The 27,632-nt window shown below is 37.7% G+C and overlaps 1 protein-coding gene across 13 annotated transcripts in view, besides 3 other annotated features; it reads left to right on the top strand.

Annotated features, from left to right (window-relative positions):
• Nucleotides 3,793–4,142: a silencer, noted in NCBI's record as "silent region_4280". NCBI's record gives its function as "represses an Ori minimal core promoter by ATAC-STARR-seq in GM12878 lymphoblastoid cells {active_cell/tissue: GM12878}" and the evidence as "EXISTENCE:reporter gene assay evidence [ECO:0000049][PMID:35858748]".
• The window catches only part of EPS8 (EGFR pathway substrate 8, signaling adaptor), a 169,255-nt gene continuing 145,622 nt past the window's right edge, over nucleotides 4,000–27,632 (top strand). For 12 of the 13 annotated variants that reach the window (NR_182221.1, NR_182223.1, NR_182222.1 and 9 more), the window contains exon 1: nucleotides 4,000–4,227. The gene's annotated coding sequence lies outside the window, so the exon portion shown is untranslated. Of the gene's footprint in view, nucleotides 4,386–27,632 lie in introns of all 13 variants that reach the window. The other variant, XM_024448882.2, reaches the window with a different exon arrangement.
• Nucleotides 4,403–4,522: a silencer, noted in NCBI's record as "silent region_4279". NCBI's record gives its function as "represses an Ori minimal core promoter by ATAC-STARR-seq in GM12878 lymphoblastoid cells {active_cell/tissue: GM12878}" and the evidence as "EXISTENCE:reporter gene assay evidence [ECO:0000049][PMID:35858748]".
• Nucleotides 4,853–4,932: a silencer, noted in NCBI's record as "silent region_4278". NCBI's record gives its function as "represses an Ori minimal core promoter by ATAC-STARR-seq in GM12878 lymphoblastoid cells {active_cell/tissue: GM12878}" and the evidence as "EXISTENCE:reporter gene assay evidence [ECO:0000049][PMID:35858748]".

Below are 27,632 nucleotides of genomic sequence, written 5' to 3'. Positions count from 1 at the left end.
ATTTGGTTTGTTCTTTCAACAGTGTGAAATAATAACAAGGGTGATAGCCAACCTGAAATTACTTGTCTACCAAGTTACACTTAGAAGATTTAGATCATCATAATAATAATATTCTAAGCTACAGTGTACCTTTTCTAGATTTACTCATGGATATGTTTTATGTTATATGGCTTTAAGGCTGTGAGTCTACAGAGGTATACACAGCAGTCCCTAAATTATATTCATACATCAGATTGGGGAGTGGGAGTGAACAGGGATGTTTGAAGAATTCTGACTCTTGGGTAATGTGGAGATAGCTCTTACTCCCCAGATAGAATTCAGTCATTATAATTTCTCCACATTTTCTGTATGTAGCATTTATACCCAGCTGTAGACTCTGCTCCTATATTTTGGGACAGAGTATTGCTCTGTCACCCAGGCTGGAGTGCAGTCAACTGATCTTGGCTCACTGCAACCTCTGCCTCCTGTGTTCAAGTGATTCTCATGCCTCAGCCTCCCAAGTAGCTGGGACTACAGGCGTGTGCCGCCAAGCCTGCTAATATTTGTATTTTCAGTAGAGATGGGGTTTCGCCATGTTGCCCAGGCTAATCTCCAACTCCTGTCCTCTGGTGATCGTTTGGCCTCGGCCTCCTAAAGTGCTGGGATTACAGATGTGAGCCAATGAGCCTGGCCTGCACCATATTTTGAATGCCCCATTCACTCCAGGTATCTATCTCCATTCTACATCATTCCTACATCATTTTCATCCCAAATGCCAACATATACTAATGAGATTTTCAAAAAGGAAAAACTTGTGTATAGTGATACTCTAAATAGGTAAGTTTGACATAGATTCTTAACAAAAGTATAAACCAGATTATTAACAATGGTTTTAGTGGGATCACTAATACCAGAATGGGTTAATCTGAAAACAGATCTTATTTAACTAGCTTCCTTTTTTTTTTTGAAAGAGTTTCTTGGACCAGTAGATTTGGGGATGCTAGAAACAGTAAATCTTTATTTCAGCAAAGCATCTAGAAAACCTTCATGAACTCCATGTTGGTTATGGTATGGGTGCATGGACTAAAGTGCTTGAAAAGTGTTGGTTCATAAATGACTGTTACCTTGGAGATCTATTTTGGCAGTGGGCTGTCTGAAGATACAGGGGAAAAGAAACCCCAAACCTAAGTGTTTTTTTCTGTTCTCTTATTCAACAATCAACATAGAAGACTTCTGTAAGCTCTGGTTACCAAGAAGTGTGTAAGAATTTCCCCTACCAGCAATCAACCAATCAATCCTGCAGCAGACACAAGCTGGGTGTCTTCAATTCAATTCTGAAACTATCTACCTGGAGATAATGTCAGATCCTACAGGTTGAGGGCTCAGTCCCACAAGACTACCCTGACTTCAGATGCCAAACAAAAAAGCCCCAGGTGGCTTTACTTGTGCTTCTGGCTGAACAACTAGAAATTAGGGTTCCCGTGACTCCCTCCTTGAGTTTGGTTATTTTGCTAGACCTGCTCACAGAACTCAGGGAAACATGTTTACCATTTTCTTATAAAGGATATTACAGAGGATACAGTTGAAGAGATGCATAGGGTGATTTATGCCCTCTCTGGGAGCACCGCCATCCAGGAATCTCCGTTTAGTTATTCATGTTCCCCTCTCTGGAAGTGCATGTAACCCATTCTTTTTTTTTTTTTTTTTGTGGAGGCTTTATTGCGTAGGCATGATTGATCAAGTCATGGGCCATTGGTGATCAGCTTAACCAGCCCCGGAAGTTAGAGGGTGGGGCTGAAGGTTCCAACACACTAATCATGCCTTGGTCCTTCCTATGACCAGTCCCCATCCTGAAGCTATGCTGGAGCCCCCAGCCATCAGCCAATTCATTCAAATACAAAAAGATGTTCATCACTTTGGAGATTTCAAGGATTTTAGGAGCTATATGTCTGGAAATGGGATGAAGACCAAATATATATTTTATAATATCACAGGCCTTTTTAAAGCCCGTTCTGTGTTACTGTTTCTTACTAGACGTAAATGGAGCCAAACAAGGCATACTTATTAAATTTACAAATGTTAAAAGTGATCACTAGTATTTATCTGAAATTGTGTCCTAAAACAAACACGATAAAATTTAATAAGAATAAAACAAAAATCAAGATTTAAATACATAGAAGTATAGACTATGAAAGGTGGAAGATACGGTTTAATTTAGTTGATGTGAAATAGACTTGGGTGTTCTGTTTGAATCTAGGTAGTGTGTGCTTGCATCAAAGGGGTGGCTGATCAGCAGCTGGAGAACTGGAACTCAGTTCTTGGCCCACTGTATTTGAATATTGTATTCTCAGTGCACAATTTAGAGAGGAGAATGAAAATCAAAACACATTCAAAGCAAGGTGAATAGTGTGATTATGGCAGCTCACTGCTATTTGAAAAACACTTAAAAGAGAATTTTTGAAGAAATGTATTAGATCTGTTGGTTACTTAATAGTTGCCCCTACTATTTCAAGGCTTGCAGTGTCTATAAAGAATGAGATTCATATTGTGTTGTTCCTAGGGGCAGAACCAAGACCAGTAGTATCAGGGAAGTTGATTTGATGTTCATAAATGATACAGGCTATAGTGTTAAGCAGACCTGGTTGTTAATTCTGGCGTCAGCATTGGCTTTGGCAAAAAGAAGGAAACTTCTGGGTTTCATTTTCCTAATGTGTTTAATAGGTATAATAAGGCCCATCTCATTTTAAGGACTAGGAATAATGTGTGTAAGTTGCTCAGTTCCTGGCATAGGTAAATATTCAACAAATAATCATGGTTATATGTAATGATAAAAATAGAAATTTACAACATTGGAAATGTTCAAGTGGATAGTGGTCTGGTGGAAATATTGGAGAGAGTATTCCCACTTAAAATAGGGGACTGGACTTAGCCGTTATATCGATTCCAACTTTTAGAATGGTTTGAATGTCCACCTTGGCATGTTACGTCGTTTCTCCCTGACTGTGCTTTTATTTGCTTCACAAAGCAAGCAAGTCCAATCTCTTTTAACCAAGTTTAATTTATAGGCTTTCGTGGACTTCTGGAAGTCAACTGACTTCGAAGTTAGGACAGCATGGGGGGATTGGGGGAGTAGCTATGACAATGAGGAGTTTTAAGAGTGAGAAAACACAATGTCTATGAGAACATGGACTTCTCTTTTAGAGGCTCCATGAGCTACTCAGAGAGGAGGTTATGAGGGTTGGTTAAGGTACGAGAGGCACAAAGTGAAAGAAGCCTCCACTACTTCAAACCACATCAGGGCTTTTGGCAAGAGCTACATGAAAAATAGGCTCACAGGCAGCCTGGCGAGGCGGGTCTGGGCTTGCAGGCTGGCGCTAAGGACCGGCAGTTGGGAGACTCTCAGGGACCCGATGGAGGGCCTTGGGCACCACCAGTTTACCGCATGGGTTGGAGAGACAAAAAAAGAGGAGAGCGACAAAAGGGGGAAAATAGGTCCGATGATCAGAGGAGGAAGACGAAGGCTGGCTGGTCATTAGATGCGTCTTGTTTGCCGCCAAAGGGCAGGGGTTACGAGCTGTGCAGCCAGACTGGGTGTTGCAACCCGAGCGCTCCCTCCGCCCGGGGCGTCCATCCTCGCCGGGGGCGAAGCTCTCCACACGCTCTTTGCCCCTTCCTGCGCCTCCTGGCTGCTAGTCAGTCCTGTTAGGGCACTTCTGGAAACCTGCTGTCGACTCGCTGCCTTGGTCCGACTTTGATCGCGGCCTTGATAACTTGGCGCAGCGCCCCGTCTCCTTTCCTCCGGTCCCTCTCCCGCCCACCCGGCCTCACCGGCCACTTCGCCTCAAGCGCTGGAGTCGACCAGAACTCTGCGGCTCGGCTGCCGGCAAGACCCGGATAGCGGATTTCGCTCCTGGCTGCGGGGCGCGCACTCGCCCGCCCGCCCGCTCGCTCGTTCCTCGCGCGGGCACTGGGCATGCGCGGCGCGCGGTTGGCACTGGCTGCGAGCGGGCGGGCGGCTCCAGACTTCACAGGCAGCAGCTAGCGAGGCGGTCTCGCCCGGCGCGAGGCCGGCGCTGTGCTCGCCTCGGAGATCGCTGCTCTTTAGCTGGGTGCAGAAGGCGGCTCCGCGGCTCGCGGACGACTGGCTGGGCGCGAATCAGATTGGGGGGCTTTCTCCCGGTCCCCTCCCACCTCGTCTGGGCTCGCGGCGTCTCCGGGGAAAGCCGTGGCCCCGAGGGCGGATCCGAGGTAAGAGCCCCTTGGCGAAAGGCGCCGGTCCCGGGGTCCGGCGGCTTTGACTTTCTCGATTTTAAAAATCCGCCTTTGTGTGCTGGAATCGGAGCGGTGCCAGGAGCCGCGTCCGCCTCCCTTCACTTTGACTGCTTTCAACTGGTGTTGGCAGCCAGGTGCGGTAGGGCGCTGCGGCCGGAGGCGTCCGCTCGCCGGGTCCGGGCAAGCTGTGGGGCCCGTGCAGACCCGCGCCCAGGGCTCCGGGAGGCTGGGCAGGGAGGGTTCGCCGTGGCCCAGTGATATTCATGGTAACCTGAGCTTCCGCAGATACACCTGCGCTCATCTGGTCCGTGGGGCGACTGCAGACCGAGTATCCCGATCTCGGCTTATTACGTTAGACTTGGGATTTGTGCGCTGCTCTGCCAACCCGCCTCAAATGGGGAGGGGTTCTTTTCAAAATGACCCTTTAGGGCAGGGTCCCACCCCCGTTTACCCCCTCGAATTAACATAGCTAATTGTTTCGGAATCGTTGTCAATGCCTAATGGCTGTTGACTTTCTTAGCTTGCTCCACTTTACTCACCATTTTACTTTTGGGAAGACAGACGGCCTTTCTCCGGTTGTGGTCAGTTCATGCATTTGAAAGGGGTTTCCCCACCCATGTACTCCCTGCCCTCTCCGATGTTCTCACTCTTACTTTCCTTCCTAGGACTACCTGTTTGCAAAATCTTTGCACCGACCGTTCTCCGGCAGTGTTTCTCAAATCCTCCTCCTCCCATAGGGCCCGTAGTACTGTTGGAATCTCGCGGGGGGCAGGACGCCGTGGTTAGGATTTGAAATCCGCAGACATCTAGAGCGGTGAAGGATTAGGAATTAGAATCCTCCTTTACAAAATATGTTTCAGTGAAATGTGTTACTGCTTCTCTTTTCAAGGTTTCTTGCCTTAGATAGTAAGGGGAATAGGTAAAAGAGCTAATATGTTAGGATGAGTTCAGGTAAAACTTGATTTCAGATGTGTGAAGAGTGTGACTTTTTGGCTTTGTCATTTTTGGGAAATAGGAGAGTTAGGATTCCGGGCAATCTTCTTTATATTGAAAAAGCCCCTCAAAGTAACTGTGTTGTGTATTGCCTCTAGTTTATTTTCATTGAAAGGACTCCATTCTTCCACAGCTCCTTGGGTTCTGGAAAGTGAGCACTAGTAATGGACGTCATGTGGTAGTGAGTCTATTGGAATTAAAGTCAATGTCATCCTGTCTCACCTAGTATAGATTTTTTGTTTGGGATCGCAGTTTTCTAAACATATTGCTGTAGTTCTTAAGTTGCTGGTGTGGAAAATTTTTGGTCACGAATTCACACTTTTACTTACAATTTGACAGTTAAAACAGTATAGAATTGTCACATAAAGGGTAAGGTAGAATGTATCACAAATGCAATAGTGATAATATAATGCCTTTATTGCAGAATACACAGATTGAGACTTTGTAAGATTGCACCACAAGTCATTCACTTTATAGCAGAAAAAAAAGAAGGAAAATATAATTTGCTTTTAATTCTACTATTCTGAGATAACCGCTGTTTACAAGACTTGGTGCATTCTCTTTGTAATTTTTTTCACTTCCCAATGTCATTGAATATTATATAGTAATTTCCAGTAAGTGTAATTTAACTTATACTGTTAGTAGCCCCACTCTTAATAGGGTGATGTTTCTTTTGTTTCCTGTCAGGAACCTAATGTCTAATTTTGAATATTTTGCTTGTTTGTGATCAAACTTAAAGATTTATTTTGTTTTTATTTCTAGCTTTTTCCTGCTTTCAAGGTTTTATCAATACTGATTCTTTTCAGATACCAGTTCTTTTCTATGCTATGGCATAGGCTTGCTACTCTCTACTTTGTGTTTATTACATTCCAAATCCTAGTTATTTTCTTACACTCTGTTTCACACCCTTTACCCTACTGCTTTTTATTCTTCTCTCTACTCCCTTCTTTTACATACCTCTTTTAATTCTGCAGCAGGTCACTTGAACCAAGGTTTGTATAAGAAAACATAGTATCCAGAATAGGAAATGATAGGTTTTTAAAAGTTGTCTCTTTAAATACTTGAAGTTCTATTGGATGAATATTTTAACACTGATTTATGTAATATTTATATACAACTCAGCTTTCCTGAGTTGTGTGAAACATACTTGGTAGTTACACGGATCATCACAAAACAACATAAGTTAATGATAAGGTACAAACTTTTGGACATCTGTAGAGGTATGTCGGGGGAAAAAGTGGAATTTTAATTAAAGTATTCTGGCTATAGTAAATCCCTCCTGGGAATTATTAATACTACATGAAATTGTTTGCAGCTGTTAGTGATTGAAAATATTTTTGTAAGAAAAATTCTGCATTGGAATAGTTGCAAACATTTTAAGTTGAATATATGCAAGAAAGTTTAAGGGTCTTCAGTGCTTCACTACAACCTTTTCAGTATTTTCTAGATGTATTCCTAAATGGGATTTAAAAAAATAGACCTTATTTCTCAGAAGTTTTGGATTTACAGGAAAGCTACAAATACGGTGTCTATATACCCCCATACCAGCTTCCCCTCTTATTAACATCTTGTATTATTGGTATTTGTTACTATTAATGAACCAGTATCAGTACATTAGTATTAACAAAGTTTATACTTTATTTAGATTTCCTTAGTTTTTAATGTCCTTTTTCTGTTCCAGGACCCTACCATCCAGGACACCACTAAATGTATTTCCTCGTAATGTCTCCCTAGGCTCCTCTTGGCTGTGACAGTTTGTTAGACTTCCTTGTTTTTGATGATGTTTGAGGAGTACTGGTCAGGTATTTTGTAGAATACATTTGCATTGGAATTCATCTAATGTTTTTTCTCATGATTAGACTGTGATTATAGGTTTTTGGTAGAAAGATCACAGAGGTAACGTGCCATTTTCATCTCATATCAAGGGTATATACTATCAGTATGATTTGTCACTGTGATACTCATCTTTATCACCTGGCTGAGATAGTGTTTATCAGATTTTTCCACTTTTCTCCACCTTTTTCATGCTGTGCTCTTAGAAGGAAGGAACTGTGTATAGCCTATACTTAAGGAGTAGAGAGTTATGCTTCCCCCTTTGATGGTAGAAATCTATATAAATTATTTGGATATTTTTCTCCGTGGGAGATTTGTCTCTTCTCCCCCATGTATTTATTTACTCAATCATATTTATTTTGTTCTGGACTCATGGATATATATATATTATATAAATATAAAATCTATCTATCTATCTAAATATTTTGGGTTATAATACAATGCTACTTTGTTACAGCTTGACTCCAGTGCCTCTTTGACATACTACCATCAATGTGAATTTTGTTTTTTTGGAAGCATTTCCTTACTTTCTGGTATTATGAGATGCTCTAGGTTCATCTGTATACATCTTGCCACAGTCCTAGAATCAGTCATTTCTCCAAGGAATCTGGATCATTTTGTTGGGGAATGGTGTTAGAAACCAAGATCTGGGTGCTAGGTGTGCTTGTTGCTACTGTGGTATCATTGCTTCTAGGTTCTCTCATGTGACAAAGCAAGAAATACATGTGTGTATATGAACATATCTGTACATATTTTTATGTAACAGTTTGTATCCATGTTTAACTATGAATTTACATTTTATCTGTAATGCTAATTCATTACCACAGGTATCATTCTAGCCTTCTCCCTTTGTTTATATGTAAACTTACTCCAACAGTGAGAAGAAACCTGGTTTGCACCATCTGCCATACATTTGCTTAATCATTCATTTCTATCATAGATGTATAGCAGCATTGGAATTGTTAACCTGTGCTCCCATGGGAAACAACTTTAGCATCAAGAGTACAGTGTTTATGTACTATTCCTTTTGCTTTTAGTCTCACAGCTTCTACTCATTTCTAGAGTTAGTCAGCTAAGCACCTTTCCTCCTATCCTTTTCAGTGAGATTGTAGCACACATTTATAATACAGTTAGATTTCTTTGTTACAATCTGCATTCCACCTTGGGATTCCTTGACCTTCTAAATGATTTGCTTACGTTTGCATACATTAAAGTTTACTCTTTGTCCTGTGAAGTTCTTTGGGTTTTGACAAATACTTAATTTGATGTAGCTATCCTTATAGGATCATAGTATCATACCGAATAATTTCAACACATTACAAATCCCCTGGGCTTCACTCATAACCTCTGTGAGCCCCTCTCCCAGAAAACCACGTATCTTTTTACTGTCTCTTTACTTTTGCCTTTTCCAGATGTTGTATAATTGGAATCATACAGCCTTGCCAGACTGGCTTCTTTCATTTAGCAATACACATTTAAGGTTCATCCATGTCTTCCTGAGGTTTAATAGCTCATTTCTTTCTATCATTATCAGATATATCATGGTTTGTTTATTCACCTATTGAAGGATATTTTGGTTGCTTCCAGTTTTTGGCAAGTATGAACGAAGCTGCTATGAATATTCACATGCAGGTTTTTGGGTAGACATAAGTTCTTATATCCGTTGGATAAATATCTAGAAGTGCGATTGCTGGATCCTGTGGTAAGATTATGGTTAGCTTTGTAAGAAATTGCCAAACTGTTTTCCGAAGTGGCTGTACTATTACATTCTCACCAGCAATGAATGTGAGTTCTTATTGCCCCACATCTTTGCTAGCATTTGATTTTGTCAGCTTTTTTGGATTTTACCCATTCTAGTAGGTGTGTAGTAATATGTCATTGTTACTTTAATTTACTATTTCCTAATGACATATGATGTTAACATCTTTTCACATACCCCTTTTCATCTGTACATCTTCTGTGGTGTGATGGCTGTTCAGATCATTTGCCCACTTTTTAATGGGGTTGTTTTCTTATTGTTGATTTTAAGAGTTCTTTATACATTTTGTATACAGGCACTTTATCAGATATGTGTTTTGCAAATATTTTCTCCCAGTTTGGTTTGTCTTTTTATTTTCCTAACAGTGTCTTTGTCAGAACAGATGTCTTTAATTTTAATAAGGCCAACTTACCAATTTCATGGATAGGCTTTTGTGTTATATTTGAAAACTCATTGCCAAGGCTACATAGATTTTATCCTGTGTTTTTCCTAGAAGTTTTATAGTTTTGCATTTTACATTTAGGTATGTGATCCATTTAGAGTTAATTTTTATGAAAGGTATAAGGTCTGTGTCTAGATTAATTTTTTTTTTGCATATGGATTCCTAGTTGTACCAGCACAAGTAAATGTGATTTTTAAATTAATAGATTATAAATTGCTTAGAATTGAAAATGTTTTTATTAAAATTTTTATTACATGTTCTGCAAAATTACTTACTGTAAACAGTTGAGAAATGACTTAGAAACCAATATATAATACAGCATGTACTGTGTGCTGAGATTTATTTCTAGACATTGTACATAATTCATTTTCCTCTTTTTTTTTTTTTTTTTTTTACTAACTCAGAGATGCTTCTTTGTGAAAATGGAATTGTTAGTATAGAGTAACATCTGTCAGTTCTTTTAGATCTTATCATAGGGAATAATAGTTTGATTTTTCACAAAAAGGATCTGGAATAAAGGATTTGCAGGGTGTATGTTGAGAAGAGGCAGTTGATGTATGCACCAGCTAGAAATCTGAGACTTAACTATGTGGTCTTGAATCTTTTCCCATGCTATTCTTCCTGCTACAAGTGACTTTTTTCAAGTACAGTTGACCCTTCAATAGTGCAGCGGTTAGACTCACTGACCCCTGCACAGTCAGAAATTTTTGTATAATTTTTGACTTCCCAAAAACTTAACTAGTAACCCTTCTGTTGACTGGAAGCCTTACTGATAACACAGTCTGTTAACACACATTTTGTATATTATATGTATATTACATTGTATTCTTACAATAAACTACAGAAAAGAAAATTTTATTAGGAAAACCATAAGGGAGAGAAAATCCAGTACTGTATTGTACTTATTGATATTGTAAGTTTTTGTTTGCTTACCAGATGACTCCTCTTTCTGAAAAGGTGGGGGAATGGAGGGGCAGGGCTGGGAACTGCAGCTGCAGACCTCAATCTATGGTACATACCAAGCAATTCAACTTTATCTCTCATAATGTCATGACTTTTCTCTGTTTCTTGGGAGCATTTCTGGCATCTCTAGTGGCACGTTTTCATTCAAGGTTTATGGTATTGTACCAAACAGGATGAAAAATACAAGAGAACACCAAGAAATCATTTTTTACTGTGATACACAATTTACCGGAGAGATGAACTGCTCACGCAGAGATGATTAACATCACACAGTGGACTAAGCGGTTACTCACAACACTTGAGCTCGCTGCAATAACAACAGGAGGTGGCTATGAAATTATTACAGTAGTACAGTATGTACTACAGTTAATTGTATGCAGTTAGGACTTAATACTGCATCTTTACATTTGTTTACATTTCTCTTGACCGCGAATGATACTATGTATCGTGTGTGTGTAAGTTTTGATAAATTTTAATTTTTTCTAATAAATTTTATGGTTACTACCATAAAATGATAAAGTAGACTAGTATTTATATACATATTATGCATTCATGACATACCTAACTTTTTTCTTAATGTTTTTGTTATCCTGGCTACGTGGTTTGTCTGTGTTTTTATTGTATTTATTTATTTAAAAAAATTTTTTGAGACAGAGTCTCACTGTCACCCAGGCTGGAGTGCAGTGGCGCCATCTTGGGCCTACTGCAGCCTCAACCACCCAGGCCCAGGTGATCCTCCCCATTCAGCCTTCTGAATAGCTGGAACCATAGGCATGTATCACCAGGCCTGGCTAATTTATTTTTATTTTTATTTTTTGCAGAGACAGGATCTCTCTGTGTTGTCCAGGATGGTTTTGAACTCCCAGGCACAAGCAGTTCTTCCAAGTTGGCCTCCCAAAGTGCTGGTATTACAGGCATGAGCCACCACACCCAGCCCGAGTGTTTTTAAATTGTCACAAATCTCCAAAAATTTTTCCAAATATATTTATTGAAAAAAATCTGTGTATAAGTGGACCCATGTAGTTCAAACCTGGCTTTTCAAAAGTCAAATGTACCTCTCTTTTGGTATACATTTTGTGTTATTGATATTGTGATGTACTATAGTTTACATATTTGTCCTCTCCAAAACTCATGTTGAAATTTCATCCTCAATGTGAGAGTGTTGAGAGGTGAGGCCTTTAAGAAGTGATTGATCCATTCATGAATTAATGGATTAAGGGGTTATCATGGGAGTGGGACTGGTGGCTTTGTAAGAAAAGGAAGAGAGACTTGAGTGAGCACATGAGCACACTCAGCCCCCTTGCCCTGTGATGCTCTCTGTTGTCCTGGGATTCTTGGAGAGTCCCCACCAGCAAGGAGGCTCTTAGCAGATGTAGCCCCTCGACCATGGACTTCTTAACCTCCATAACTGTAAGACATAAATTCCTTTTCTTTAGAATTACCCATTTCAGGTATTCTGTTATAAGCAACAGAAAACAGAGTAGGACAGGATTAGAAATATTTATAATGTTGCACTAAAGTTAGAACCAGTAGTCTTCAAGAAGCAGGTGGAGCAGCTCACATAATAATAGTACCTTTTGTGTGGCAGGTGTTACATACATTATCTTCTTTCACTGTTACAAGAGCCCTTTAAGGCATGCTTCTTTATCTCAGAATTACAGATAAAGGAATAGGCCCAGAAAGAAAAAGTGACTTGTGTCACACATGGGGAGAAAGGGACCGAATTGGGATGAGAACCCTGACCTGACTCCAAAATCCATGCCCTTTCCACTTGGTTGTGCTGCCCTTATTAAAGAAAAAGGGCAAGGATGGCCAGAGTGTCCTTAATTACATTCTTTTATTTAATACTGTGCTATATACTTGCTCAAATTACTACTGTGCCAAACAAGAATAGCGAAAAAGTTTGTGTATTTAAGCTCCACAAAGATTCTTCTAGCTTTGTTTTCTGTTGACTCATCTGTATCCTACTGACCAGAGGTATGTGGTGATGGAACACGGTTGTTTTAAAGAATGAGGATCTTTTAAAAAGAAACATTTGTGGGGAATTAGACAAAATAAAGCAAATAATGGTAGCATTAGCTAGTTATTTCTTTCTTTCCCTCATTGTATTTAAAGCTTCTCAAGGGCAGGGAACTGAGTCAGTTAAGTTCCCTGATGTATTTAAGGCCAACATATGACCATATGTGTCAGCCATATGACACACTCACAAAAGGCTTGCTGAATGAAATTAGCACTTATTATCATATTTTTACATAAATACTTAAAAGGGCATGAGTTTTCCTCACATAGGAAGTTGAGCATTACTACATTTCATTTGTTTATTCATTCATCTTTTATCGAGTGTTTGTTGAGTATCTGTTCTGTGCCAGACACCAGGAATACAAAGATGAGTAAGACAGGATCTCTGCCTTTTGTTGTCAGAAGGCTCAGAGAATGGAGGCAGCCAGACACCCGTTTTAGTACAGTGTGGAGCTGAAGGAAGTATATATTAAAAAACAAACAAACAATGGACTTTGGAATCAGACCTTATCTGCCTTGGTTTTCTTATCAAAGAGGTGGAAATGTCAAGTAGGTACTATTATCCATGGAGGATGTTAAATGAAAAGTGTGTATGCCTGTGTGTGTGTGTGTGTGTGTGTGTGTGTGTGTGTGTGTGTGTGTGTGTTTATCCCAGCACATAGCAGAAAGGAGAGCCTCACTGTGGCCGAGGGAGTCAGAAAAGTCTTTACTGGGGAAGGTGATGTTTGAGTCTCATAGAATGAATTTTTGAGGCAAAGCGAGACGCTCATCTCTCTCCAGGTAGAAAGATGAGCATGTTTGACATGTGCGGAATAGGTTGGCATGATGGGAGTGGTGGGAAATTCTGCACATTCCCACATTCAGAGCTTACGGGAGTATTAGAAAGAACTGAATGAGCAGTTATTTTTCATTTTTGTAAGTAACAATACAATAGAGTATTCATTACATTGTAGCAGAAGAGAATAAAGATACCAAACCTGTTTAAGAATTGCATAAATCTTCTCTTCTAGTCACATGGCCTTCTAAATGTAGCTCTTTATGTAGCAAACAAATTCATGTGTTCTTTTTCAGTCCTGTGATACTCAAGTGATTATATGGAATTTAAGAAAGAGAACTTGCATGTTTTTGGGTGAAATTGGAGGTCCTGTTTCAAACCATTCTTACATTTAGTAGCATAGCAACAAAAGAATGTAATAATCTATGAAGCCAGATCTAGTCCTGTTTAAGCCTGTCTAAAATTCTAAGCCATAGTTTCTGAACAGAACCTGAAACATACTATTTAGGAATGTACTAAAAAATAACTTGTTAAATGAATTATGTGCTTGATAAGAGATCAGAGTTCTATAATTGAAAAATTGTGTTTTTAATATAAGGGGAGAAGAAAAAGAGAAAGAAAAAATAGTGAGAAAAAAGATTGATAGAAGGAAGAGAAGTTTGTACTTAAATGAGGGAGAAACATTTTTCAAGTCCCTTATTGAGGGCTGTTGAATTATCTTCTGTTAACACCATTAGAATATTACTAAGTTATTCCTTATTATAGAAATACATGTATATTATTGAGATATTTGTTGGTTTAATGCAACAATAGAATGTTTCCAGTATCTGAAGTGGAAAAACAAAGCTGCAAATAAAAATATGTGTAAAATCTGTCTCTTTTGAGAAGACATTGATTACAGTTTATCTAATTTTCTGCAATAATTTTGACATTTAAAGTTGATGGTAATTTTAGACCTGAATGTACAATAAGATGATTTTAAGTGCTCTTTTAGAATTTAAAGAAAGATATACTTTTGATGATAGAGATAGAAGATACTTTTAACTGCTTTGCTAGTGAAAAGTCTGTTACATTTTGCTGGGCAAGGTGGCTCACGCCTGTAATCCCAGCATTTTGGGAAGCCGAGGCAGGCGGATCACCTGAGTTTGGGAGTTCGAGACCAGCCTGACAAACATAGAGACGCCCTGTCTCTACTAAAAATACAAAATTAGCCGGGCTTGGAGGCACATACCTGTAATCCCAGCTACTCGGGAGGCTGAGGCAGGAGAATTGCTTGAACCCGGGAGGCAGGAGGTTGTGGTGAGCCAAGATGGCGCCATTGCACTCCAGCCTGGGCAACAAGAGTGAAACTCCATCTCAAAAAGAAAGAAAGAAAGAAAGAAAAAGTCTGTTACATTTTAAAATCTTGGTTTGCCTTCTTTTTTGGGGACTTGGATTTCTTGAAATTAATTTTGTGAGTAACTTGGTAAATTGATGACTTATTTTCTGCCTGGGCATGCAAACTCTGCATTTGATAGTTTCTTTCATATATGGAAGAAATGAAAACACTACCTTTAAGTAGATTTACTACCTTTATTCCCCCCATAAAGGCATGAACAGCTTGTTTATGTTTATATGCATGCGTACATAATCTCCAATTTCTCTTTGCAGTGTGTTTTCAAAACTTCAACTGTTTTATGACAAACTATATGTGTTTGGGAGTTTACAAATATTATTCTTTAATCCAGGAATGTGAATTTTTGAAACCCTATCTTCAGATTGAGTTGTCCTTACTGTTTTAGTGTTTATCTGTATTCTCAGAACCTCTGTTGCGTGGTCTGTTTTCAAAAAAGTACTGTGTACCATAAACTACAGTGTTTTTGTTTTGTTTTTTGCACATCAAGATCCTTTTAGTCGAGAGAACATTAATTTTGTCAGTAGTTCTTTTATTTAGCTCCTTTGTGGGGCCTTGTTAGATTCTGAATAATTTAATAGCAATGGAATCCTTTCTGTGATAAAAATCTGGTCATTGGTCCAATACTTGTAGCATTATTCACATGATACTCATGCATGCAAAGGTGTGGGATTAATGCGTATGCCTGAAGAGTGTGTGTCAGAGTGTTTTTAATCATTGTTGAAAATCACCCTCTGAAGATTTTCGTGTGCATTAATTCTCAGATTTGCTTAAAGTATTATCACTTCTATTTTAAAATGAATAATCCATGGTGGCCTAGCCTGAACAATAATATGTAAGAAAAATTGGAAAAATTATAACTTCCTTTAAATTTAGGAATAAGGTCTATATTTTTTGTATATTTGTATGTTTGCTATGTTTGCAGAATTACAGAATAAATTGTTTAAAGCATATTTCTTTCTATGTTATTTTAATTTTTTTACATTTCTTACCCAAACTGTTGAAACAAAAAGTTTCAGTCCCAGTTAGTACAACATCCATAAACTTTGTCCACATTTCACATTTTCAGCTTTATCTTAAGACTGGCTACTTTCCATGGTCTTGTCAAGAAAATAGTCTTTTACAACTCTTGAAGCAGATAAATAACCATGTGGGCTTTCCTTCATCACCCCCTTTCCCAACTCTTTTCCTCCTCCCAGCTGTTCCCCCTCCTTTTGCTCGTTTCTGACACCCTTTTTCAATCCTCAGATGGCTTTAATAGAAAAGTATATTTTTCATAACTTTGATAGCTTTCCAATTACTATTCTAACTCTTTCTCACTGCCTGGTGAGATCTCAGTCATGGAGAGAGAAGTCTGAATAAAAGAGACATTCATAGTGGTTATGACAGTGAAGGTTAAGTTTAGGCTGCTAGGGGGTTTGAAACAAAGGAGGGATTGAAGCCTTCATCGCCTTTACCTTATTTGGGTACTAAGTAAGTGATTTTGGAAATAGTAAAATCTCATTATGAAAAGAGTGAAATCTAGTCCGGAATAAATGTGTTAACAGTGCTTAACTTTAACTGGAATGCATCTTAACACCATTCAGTTTTTATACTGATTAGAAAGGTCCACTGTGGTTTTGGTCATATATTAGAACATATGCTGTTGGTTTTTTGTTTTGTTTTGTGTGTGTGTGTGTGTTTTTTTTCATTCTGCTTTGTAAGTACCCCTTATCACTGTAGGGAATTTTAGAATTTGAATTAAAATATATCTTGAGTTATATAATGTAAAAAAAAAATTTATATAGGCTACTCCATGGCATTGTAAAGAATCTTAAAATAGATATAAAAGTGACTTCATCTTACCTCCAATGTCCTTCCTCCATCTATATCTGTTATCTCTAGCTATTTTCATCTTTTCTCTCTGCCAGGCAGTTAGTAGAATAGTTGAAGAATGATTTTATCAGCTCTCATTGGACTACAGGATAAAAGACCTAAAAATATGGGATAATTTAATCCAATGGCTAGCAAATACATTTTGTGTTATGTTTATGGTTTTCAAAGGCATTGATAAAATCAAACTATCATTACTGGGAAATATGAAATTTTCAATAAGATTCCAAACTAATAGATAAAGTGATAAAATGATTGGGAAAACAAGTGGTGGTAGAATCTGATATAAAAATAGTTTGGCGGTAGCAAAAGGGGAAACGCTAAAATTCTCAAGAACCCATCAGCCATTTTTACTAACACTGTGCTCTTCATAAGCTATATCTAGGGAACTTTGATTATATGCTGTAAGGAACAATATATTATTTAAGTGTATATTGAATAAGTATTCAATAAATAACTGCAAAATAAAAGACAGTTCTGAATGTGGAAATTCCTATTCTTGCGAGATTGAGCCAGACATTTCTAGCTAACATTGACGTTATTGGGCTAACGTGGGCATCATTTGGGTTTTGGGTATTAGGTGTAACAAATGCTTGCTGATGCATAGAGGCCAATCTAGGTCTGTGTTAGTTCCTGAGAGTGTGCATGTGAACTTGAGGGGAAGGTTTTTAGAGTAGGTCACTCACCTAAGCCAGCTGTTTTTTTCTCTCTTCCAAAAGAGTACCGGATTGCTCCTTTGCAGGGGCTGACTTGAGAACATGGCTTAACTTTTAAGGCTAGATAAACTAGTTCAGCCAGAAGTGTATTATTTCCCCCCAAAATTACATTTAAAAGCTTCTAGCTATGATCATTTCAGCTGCTTCTTCCTCCCTTTCTAATTATTCTTGCTATTTCTGTTACTGATATCAACCATACCAATCACTGGAAAGGAGAATACTTGGGCAAAAATTTCTTTTAAAAGAAAAATTGCTGGAGAGAAATATGTACACAAATTTATATTGAATATATAATAAAATACATATGGAACTGCCCTTTGTATGTGAAGGTGAGTTTTGTTTGTTGTAGTGGTGTCAGATCTGGTTTGATTCATTTCAGCTTTTTCCAGTGTTCTTTCTTGTGATACGCATATATGAGATAGGAATTTTGCTAAATCATTAGCAGGCCCATTGGCTTAATGTAACCCAATCTAGTTTCTTGATCTAACAGTCCTGGAATATACAACTTTACCTAATAGAAAATAATTTTGTTTCAGTTAATGAAATTTATCTGTCAATAAAGAAATATTAAATAAGTGCCTATTAAGTGCTAGTACTAAATAATGAGAATACTCTAATTGACAAGATAGACAACATTCTTATCCTTGTGGACTGCGTGATGTTAGACACCTAAATGAAAAGAAGCATAAAAACTTAACAGAAGCATCAGGTTCTAGGTAAGGGCTCAAAAATCTGGAAAATAAAGGCTAATCTTTTTTGCTTTTCTCGCCCTCTTTCCTTAATATAGATTCACATTTTTTCCTATTCAAATGTAATGATATTCACATTTTGTATTGTTTTTCTACATATACTGGTACTGTGGATTTATAAAATAAGTCTATTTCCAAATTACATGTATTTTACAATGATTCCACAAAGGAACGTTGGCTATTTATGAGCTTTGGGGAAAATTACAGTATATCAGTACTCCCTTTGAAAGATTTTAAACTATTAAGGTCAATTTAAGATCAGACCAGACAAGTGTGGTTTGTGTCATTTTTATATACGGTATTCAGTATTTTTTCCTGCAAGCTTTTGGGAGTGAAGAAGCCATTATTCATAAAATGAATTCATATGTAACACCTTAGGCTGATCGTAAAGTGTTAAACCTTAGAGATGGGGAAAATTCTATTGTCTTGAATTTTGAATGTGGGTAACTTTAAGACTGCCATATGAATTGCCAAGTTGCAAAATTGTTTTTGCATTTCACTTGCAAGCAAGGAAAATGTGGACTCCTTCTTTAGTGGGGCCAAGCGCATTCTAACACACCTCTCAAATTACACACCACTGAAATGATACTCACAATGGGTTTGGCTCATATGTTTCTAGTTAGCTACTATGAATGAAAGATTCATAACTATCTGTTTCAAAAAACTTCCTTATTTGCACTGCAGGGAGCTTAATTGTTTGGTAGCAGGGTCAAGAATTGCTTTTAAATACTAAGCATGCATGGATTGGGCCATTATACACTGAACTAAAAAAAAGATTTCTGTGCACAAAGAAGGCTTTAGATAAATATTTGTCAAATCATTGATTACTTTGTTGGCTGTGGAAGAATAAAAGTCCCTGAGTTTTCCCACCCTGTTGGTAATTTGGACCAAATATTTTGGTCACTATTTTTTATATATATATATATTTATATATTTATATGTTTAAAATATATATATGTGTGTATATATATTTTATATGTATGTATGTATATTTATATTTATATATGTATATATATTTTATATGTGTACATATATATTTATATGTGTATATATATATATATGTATATGTATAACAAACCTGTAACCTTTCCCTTACCTTGCCTATTGAGCATTGTAGAATACAGGATAACAGGGAGGAAGAAGTCATTCATACTTACTAGACAGATGGTTGGCGTCCCTGTGGCAACCTTGTGATCTAATAATTTTCCAAGTTCTGTCTACCTAACTGAAGAGTAATAGCTGTTTACTGTTTGCTTAAATAACACTAGGCCTGTATGCAAGTTGCAGGGGGGGTGGGGTGAAGGAGGGGGGTAGATATATAAATTCATCTCTGCAGTTTTATCAAATCTGTAAAAGAGGTGTAGCATACAGGCACCTCTTTTCCAAAAGAAAAAATTCATTAGTTCCTCATTTTGGTTATTCCTTCTTATTCGTGGCTCAAGCAAACCATTACCAGAGAATCTTTTTTTTTTAATTGATGACACGCTAAAAATTAGTTATTTTTGAAGAATTTTTTTCAAAGGTAGTATTTGAATATATTGGTAAAAGATGGTGGAATTATTTTCCTGCTTTTCTGCAGTAAATTAGTTTGTACACTTCTGGTGACATTTGCTCGACTATCCAAAGAAGATGAGGCTGTTAAAGAAATTTTAACAAATATTTATGAATGCATGAAATTGATTATGTTTATTAAAGTCACAAAAAATTTCTAGCCTTTATTATAAATTTTATAAATTGCTACTGCAAAAATGAGAGAGAATTATAGTTACCAATGTGAATTACTTTTGTTTGGTCAGACATTGACTTCCCCTGATTGCCACCTTGTCACTCTGTTTACTAGACACAGATAGGAACTTCTTTCTTCTTCCTATGATATGCATTTGATTCATGTCATATGCTGTCAAAATAATGTTGTCCTGAGATTATTTGCTGGAATGATAAAACTGATGCAGACTATGTCAGCTAGACTTGTTAATATCACATTATTCTTTCTAATAAGTACTTGTACTTAGAATACTTACTTGCTTCTGCTGCATCATGTCTCTCTTCTTATCCCCAATGCTTTTTTTTTTTCTTAAATCTCTCTCCATAGTCTCTTGAAGGGGCTGATAAACACAGTTCTAAAATATTTCATGTATCTATCTCCCTTTAACACATAATTTGGTCCTGTGCATATGTTTAATACCAGGGTATCCCCATTCATTTCCTCCTTCTTCTGAGGATGATTGAAATTTTGTGGCTTCATGATTGCCTTCTAATTTTCAACTTGACTTAAACCAGAGCATAGTAAAAGAACCATTAATAATCACAATTAATAACATTAGAATGTAATTTTAATAATTCAGGCCTCTATTGCAAAATGTATTATGGAGTCAGTTTAAAATGTGATTCTTCTCTCTCTTATATGTACCTATGTCCAAGTGTGTATATAGTAAGCTCTTGGAGTTCAGGTGTGTCTTGGTGAGGTATTCTGCATATATGGAACATAGTCTCTTAACATCCTTTTGCTGCTGCCTTATTTCTGTCTTGTTTCCACCTAAGATTCTTGAAGAGAAGCTTAATGTCTATGGTTTCCTCTTCACTTCTCCTACATCAGCGAGCCCACTGTGGTCTGATGCTGAGCTTATGTCTGTAGGTCATCTGCCATCTTCTAAAAGCTAAACCAAAAGGAAAATGTTTAGTTTTTACTTGATTTTGCTGTAGCATTTACCTGTAAACTCTTTGAGGACATAAACTGTGTCTCGTTCACTATGAATTTTTACCATTTAGGGTTTCTGGTACTTTGTAGACCCGTCTATTTGCTGAATGAATGTATGTTTGTAATGATTTTTGCCTTCTTTTAAATAAAAAGAATATTCTCTTCCTTTGGCTCCTGTGGTGGTGCTGTTCTTTCCTGGTTAACATCTACCTCTGCTTTGTTACCCATCTACACTTAGATGTTGATTCAGAAGCTCTGCTACTTGGGATGGAATAGGTATCCAAAATTCTTCCTAAGTGAAACTCTCAAGTAAGTTCTAGCACCATCTGTTGGCAGCAGTGAGAGCCAATGCTTTATTTATTTATTTATTTATTTTGTGCCTCAGTTCATGGTTTTGTGTATTCTCAGAACACTCACAAGTTGAAAAGTTTCTGGATTTTCTGGAATTATTTTCTTAGCCTTCATCTCATTTCATGTTACAGCCTAAGTTTCATTCTCTTTCTAGGGAACCTCAGTGTTTCGTTTAGAACAGTTACTCTCAGTTCTTCAGGTGATGCCTTTCTTGGGAACTCTAACTCTATTTATGACTGAAGCTGAATATCACACAGGCCCCTCAGACTTCACATTTCCCAAAATTAATTTCTTGCTTTTACTCTGGCCCCCTCATCTCTTTCTGTCTCTCTACTTGGAGTGACTTTTATCCAAATGACAACCTTAGAAATCTGAATTTTTCCTGGACTCTTTTTCTTACCCACCTTTCTGCCCCACCTATATGTCAACAGTCATTAAATCTTTTTGAGTCAGCAAATGGCTGATAGAGCACTCTCCTCTTCCGTCTCTCACTGCTAATCATGTTAACTACCTTGCTTAAAACTCTTCAGTGGTTCCCCATATGCTCATTAGGGTGGTACAAATGAAGACTACGGGCGCCCGCCACTATGCCCTGCTAATTTTTTGTATTTTTAGTAGAGACGGGGTTTCACCGCATTAGCCAGGATGGTCTCGATCTCCTGACCTCGTGATCCACCCACCTCGGCCTCCCAAAGTGCTGTGATTACAGGCATGAGCCACCGCCCCCGGCCTTCCCCTTTCTTTTGTATTGAAATTAGCTCTCAATACTGCCACAAAGAATTCTTTGTAATGAGTTAGCCACAAAAATAGTTCAGTTCTAGGAAGAATTTCTTTTCTTTTTCTTTTCTTTTTTTTTTTAAGAGACAGTCTTGTTCTGTTACCCAGGCTGGAGTGCAGTGCAATCCTACGGAGAATTTCTAGCCCATTAGAAGAACACATCCATGACCCCCCTTCTCCTTTACCTGCCATATGCAACTGATTGCCAGATTTTGCTGCTTTCACATTAAAGTTAACCCTCGCCTTTGCCCCTTCTGTTCAGTTTTTCACTGTTTCAAGGCTATATGACCATTTTCTTAAGCTATTCCCTCCTGAATGTCTCTGTATCTGCCTCTGTCCTACTTCAATTCATGTTAATTACTACTTTCAGATCAGTCTTGCTAAAGCTGAGTTCAGATGATGTCAGTCCATTGCTTTAAAAACTGCTAACAAAGGTTTCCTTTTCAGGCTTTTCACAACCTGGTGACTTTCTTTAATTTTAGCCTCACTACCCGCTTTCCTATAAATTACTCATTAGCCAAAGTGAGGTACTATACACTTTCATCTGTATACTTCAGTTTTCCCAGTCTGTGCTTCAGTGTCCCTCTTGTCTATATTTGGAATAACTTTTTAATTTATCTCTATATACAAATCGAATCCATCAGTTAAGGTCTACTTTATCTGCCATTGTAGAATAATCTACCTTCTTTGGTACCTCTCCCACTTAATATTTTTTTTCTCAGGATCGCCTAGGCACTTATTTTCTTTCGTGAACTGTAATTTATATACATGTGTGTTACCTGATACCAGGTATCAAGCTCCTCTAAGGTAGGCTCCATATCTGATTTTTACTTTTGGACAGGCCTTAAAGCCTGGAGTGGTGCTTTTGTGTGATAGACGCTCAATGTGTATTGGTTAAATGATGAAATAAATGAATTTTTTCTTGCATCTTTCATCATGAGATTTGTGCCAGTAACATCCCAACTCTCAATATGAAAAGGAAAAAAATACTGACCACAGTTTTTACTGAGCCTAAATTGAAATATTCTGAAAAAGCTTAATCATGGTGACAATCAGAATGTACTCTGTTATTTAGGATAAACCCTTCTGGCAAACATGCCTGTTTTTCAGGTTCCCATTCTTTTAAATGTGGGCTATGATTATGCTCTTTAACATCTCACAGATTTAATAAGTAAACCATTGTTTTAAAGTATTATAACTTTTTCCACAAAAAACTGAGCTCTTAGAATAAAAAGCCAACAAAGATGATATTTTTTCAGTCTGACTCTTTTCTATCCTTTCCCCTCATTAGAGCACAATTTTCAAGATTTTTGTATTATGAGTAAGACAGTGAGAGCTTTTTGATATTTCATGAACTAAACCCAAAAGGGCCTACAAAAACACGCTTTAGCACATTGTTTTTACCAAATCCTACTGTAATTATAAATATTTTTAATAGTATGAATAATGTTATTTTTTCCCTTCCTTTCTTTTTCCCTTTCCCTTCTTCTTCTTTTTTTTTTTTTTTTGAGACAGGGTCTCGCTCTGTCATGCAGGCTGGAGTGCAGTGGTGTGATCATAGCTCACTGCAGCCTCGAGCTCCTAGGCTCAAGTGATCCTTAAGTCATGGGTGGGTGGATCACTTGAGTCCAGGAGTTTGAGACCAATGTGGGCAACATGACAAAACCCTATCTCTACAAAAAATACAGAAATTAGCCATGGTGGCATGTGCCTGTAGTCCCAGCTACTTGAGAGGCTGATATGAGAGGATTACTTGAGCCTGGGAGTTTGAGGCTGCAATGAGCCAAGATCATGCCACTACACTGCAGCATGGGTGAAAGAGCGAGACCCTAGTCTCAAAAAAGAAAAAAAAAAACCTAATTAAAAAAACATGAAAATTACAAATAATTGTGGCACTGGAACTATTTTGGGTATTATTCAACTGCTAAGAATAAAATCAGCATAACTGCAGAATACATCTGAGAAATAATAAAACATGACTTTGGTCAGAAAGTTCAGGAAATTTTTGTACTGTGTCCAATTTATTTTGCTCTGTGATCAGATTCTCGTGAATGCTAGTGTTAGACAAAAGACTGAAAATAGAGTTACTATATAGAGATGTTCATTGTTTGGGGAGAAATTCAATAGAGTCTTGAATATTCTCGTGATGTGCAGAATAATTATATAGAGATTATTTTAAATCATAAATACATCTTATATCTTAACATCTTAAATGTTTTGCTTTCCAGATATACTCAAGATATTTCTGTGAAAATGTTTTTTCTTAATATTTGCCAACAAGAGCGTCTTATATTTGTGTAATTTTTCCAAAGTTGAGTAATAACTGTAATGCTAGTTTGCTTATTTTTCATAAAACTCTGAGTGATTTTCTTTAATATATCCTTGAAAATGCATTTTTCATTTATTTTTTCTTATTCTTGTTGTATGTATATATCAAGTGTGGCATTTATTTTGAGAGTCTTGATAAAATTGGCAAAAGTAGAGTTACAATTTTATGTTAATAATGAAAGAATGACATATAATATTTGCCTGATTGTATCTCTTATTTTTTGTGTGCTTTTTGTTAAGCATATGTCAATTTATTTTGCCAACATTATTCTATAGACAGAGAACTCCTGTTTTTTTCTTTCAGGTTAGTTCATGTGATCCTGGTTAATGGAACATAAAGTGAGATTTTATGGGTGACAGGGAGAGAGATGAGGCTTGACTTGGGGGCATATGGGAAAAGAAGGGGGCTGTCTGTTCACAAAGATTTAAATATCTGATAAGAACTGTTTGCCAGCGCAATTATGAATAAGTGTATTTGTGCCTAATTTTTATTTTTTAAAAGCTCAGGTGATTATAATTTCATCTGTAAAATGTTGAAAGTATAGTCTGATTAAAATAATATATAAGAAATGGTTTTGGTTCTTTTTGAATCAAAAGGTGTGTAAACCTGGAGAATCTGCAGAGTGCCAGACCTCTGCTTTTGTCTTTTCTTAGTATTGTATCATGTTTTCCTTGATATTAATCTTAAGATGACTTCATATATGTCAATATTGTTTAATGTTAGCCATCCACCTATTTGGGATAGGAAAAAAAGTTTTTCCCTGTGTAGATTTGTGTGGATTGCCGAATCACTACTATGTTGGAGGGAGATTATTTTGCTTGAGAGTAATATTGAAAAAGCTCCTATTTTCTCCCTTCAAAAAAACTGGCTTCTGAAAATTCCGTGACTTAATGTATCAAGAACCCAACTCCTCAAGTGATGTTCTTATTAATTAATATTTAGTAAATACTACACACCCAACTTAGGGTAATTTGTTGGGGAACTTATCTCACTACCTCTGCTCTTAAAATTCTTTTTTTTTTTTTTTTTTTTTTTTTTGAGATGGAGTCTCTTGCAGGCTAGAGTGCAGTGGCGTAATCTCAGCTCACTGCAACCTCTGCCTCTTGGTTTCAAGTGACTCTCCTGCCTCAGCCTCTCGAGTAGCTGGGATTACAGGTGCCCGCCACCACGCCCGGCTAATTTTTGTATTTTTAGTAGAGAAAGGGTTTCACCATATCGGCCAGGCTGGTCTTGAACTCCTGACCTCGTGATCCACCCGCCTTGGCCTCCCAAAGTGCTGGGATTACAAACGTGAGCCACCGTGCCCAGCCTTAAAATTCTTAAATCTCATTTCCCTCCTTTTATTATTATTCAATAGTTAACTGTATAAGCCAGAACAGTTTTTTTAAAAATTGGATATCTCCCAGATTTCTTCCAACTCTAATATTCTGTAAGTCTTTGGTTTTTACTTAGGTTAATTCTTAACTGCAATGGAAGAAAAGCATAATTCCAGTTTCTAAGGTAATACTTAACATTTCTTTACATTATTCTAAATTGAATGGAAAACTTTATTTGTAAAATAACAACCAAAAATATCTATTTTATTCTCTGGGGAAAGACAACTTTGTAATATATTTTTCCACTTGAAATGTTTTTGCTTTGCAAAATCCTGTTGGGAAAACAGATTTCCAGACAGCTTAAAACTGACAAATGAGTATTTTGACAGGTATTCCTGGAAGGAGAGCTGTTGCCACCAACCATTTCAATTTCCTTATTCTAACAACCATGTTTAGCAGAGAAGAAGACATATCTCAGTTTGAAACAAATATTTAGTGTTGAGAGAGGTGGGTGAATATAAGCCTTTTTTAATGTATTGGAAAAATAGGGCATTTAGTTCACTGTTTTGGAAAATAGAGTAACAATGAGGATAATAAAGTACTTCTTTATGGCCTAAGACTGACCTGATACTGTCAACTTCCTGTGTTCCATTCAGTAGGGTGTTCCTAGAGGAGGGTTTCATTTTATGCCACTGTGTCATTTAACGGCTTTTTTCTGTGTGCAACCTGTTGTGGCTTTAGAATAGAAAGCGTCAAGATAAAACATTTCATAGCAGAAACATTTTTCTGCATAAAATTCCACTGGTGAACAGTAGTTACTAGACCTTAGTAGAACTAGTCTGCTTCTGTAGAAATAATTTGTGAAAATGGTAGGGATGAACTCTGTTGTTCTGTCCATATTTAATTTACCTTCCAATTTGTAAACTTCTTATTAACATTGATATATTTTGAACAATATTATTTAGATTTCCTTCACCATACAGTTATTTTTTGAGTAGAATATTAGAAGTAGTCATGCAATCTCTTGTTCTTAGGTGCTATTTGCCAGGCCCACACACATTGTTAGTTGCTGTCATTATTTGTCTCCATCATCATTCTCACCACCACCATCATCATTGTCATCATATATATATATTTAAACATCAGAGATGGCTATTTGACTGGCTTGTGGAATTTGTGAAAAGCATAAATCTGAGAATCTTAAAATGTGAGACCTGCTGTTTAAAGATAGAGCAAATGTAGTTATGGATACTTATAGAATTTAGACTAATTCCTTTTGGTAGTAATGACTGAGTGATTTTGGCTTATTTCAAAGAATCGAGTTAGACATATGTTTGAATGACCCCATAGAGTCTTACTTTATATGCTTAAGCCTGGATGAAAATCAATTTCATTTAGCTTTAACTCGGATAAGGGTTTCATGGTCATTATTATATTCTTTTTTTCTTAAAACTTTCCTTTTTTTTTTTTTTGGAGACAGAGTTTCACTCTTGTTGCCCAGGCTGGAGTGCAATGGCACGATCTCTGCTCACTGCAACCTCTGCCTCCTGGGTTCAGGCAATTCTCCTGCCTCAGCCTCCCAAGTAGCTGGGATTACAGGAGCCCCACATTAGCTCCCAATGTCCAGCTAATATTTTGTATTTTTTTTTTTTTTTGAGATGGAGTCTCGCTCTGTCACCAGGCTGGAGTGCAGTGGCGCAATCTCGGCTCGGCTCACTGCAACCTTCGCCTCCTGGGTTCAAGTGATTCTCCTGCCTTAGCCTCCCAAGTAGCTGGGACTACAGGTGCCCACCACCAGGCCCAGCTATTTTTTATTTGTATTTTTTTGTATTTTTTAGTAGAGACGGGGTTTCACCATGTTGGCCAGGATGGTCTGAAACTCCTGACCTCAGGTGATCCACCCGCCTCGACCTCCCAGAGTGCTGGGATTACAGGTGTGAGCCACTGCGCCAGGCCAAAACTTCCTTTCTTTCTTTCTTTTTTTAAACACTAAAACAAACTGCTGAAGAGTATTTTTTTTCTCTGTTAAAACTTTTAGGCCGGTTGCAGGTGGCTCACGCCTATAATCCCAGCACTTTGGGAGGCCGAGGCAGGCGGATCATCAGGTCAGGAGTTTGAGACCAGCCTGACCAACATGGTGAAACCCTGTCTCTACTAAAAATACAAAAACATTAGCTGGGTATGGTGGCACGCGCCTGTAATCCCAGCTACTCAGGAGGCTGAGGCAGGAGAATCGCTTGAACCTGGGAGGCAGAGGTTGCAGTGAGCCGAGATTGCGCCACTGTACTCCAGCCTGGGCGACAGAGCAAGACTCCGTCTCAAAAAAAAAAAAAACCAAAAAAAAAAAACCACTTTTCTCCAAAAGTAGATATGTGTCAAAAACCAAAATACTGTTG

This window comes from Homo sapiens, chromosome 12 (assembly GCF_000001405.40).
Source record: "Homo sapiens chromosome 12, GRCh38.p14 Primary Assembly".
In the NCBI taxonomy this organism is placed as follows: domain Eukaryota; kingdom Metazoa; phylum Chordata; class Mammalia; order Primates; family Hominidae; genus Homo; species Homo sapiens.
This window is presented reverse-complemented; position numbering and strand designations above follow the sequence as displayed.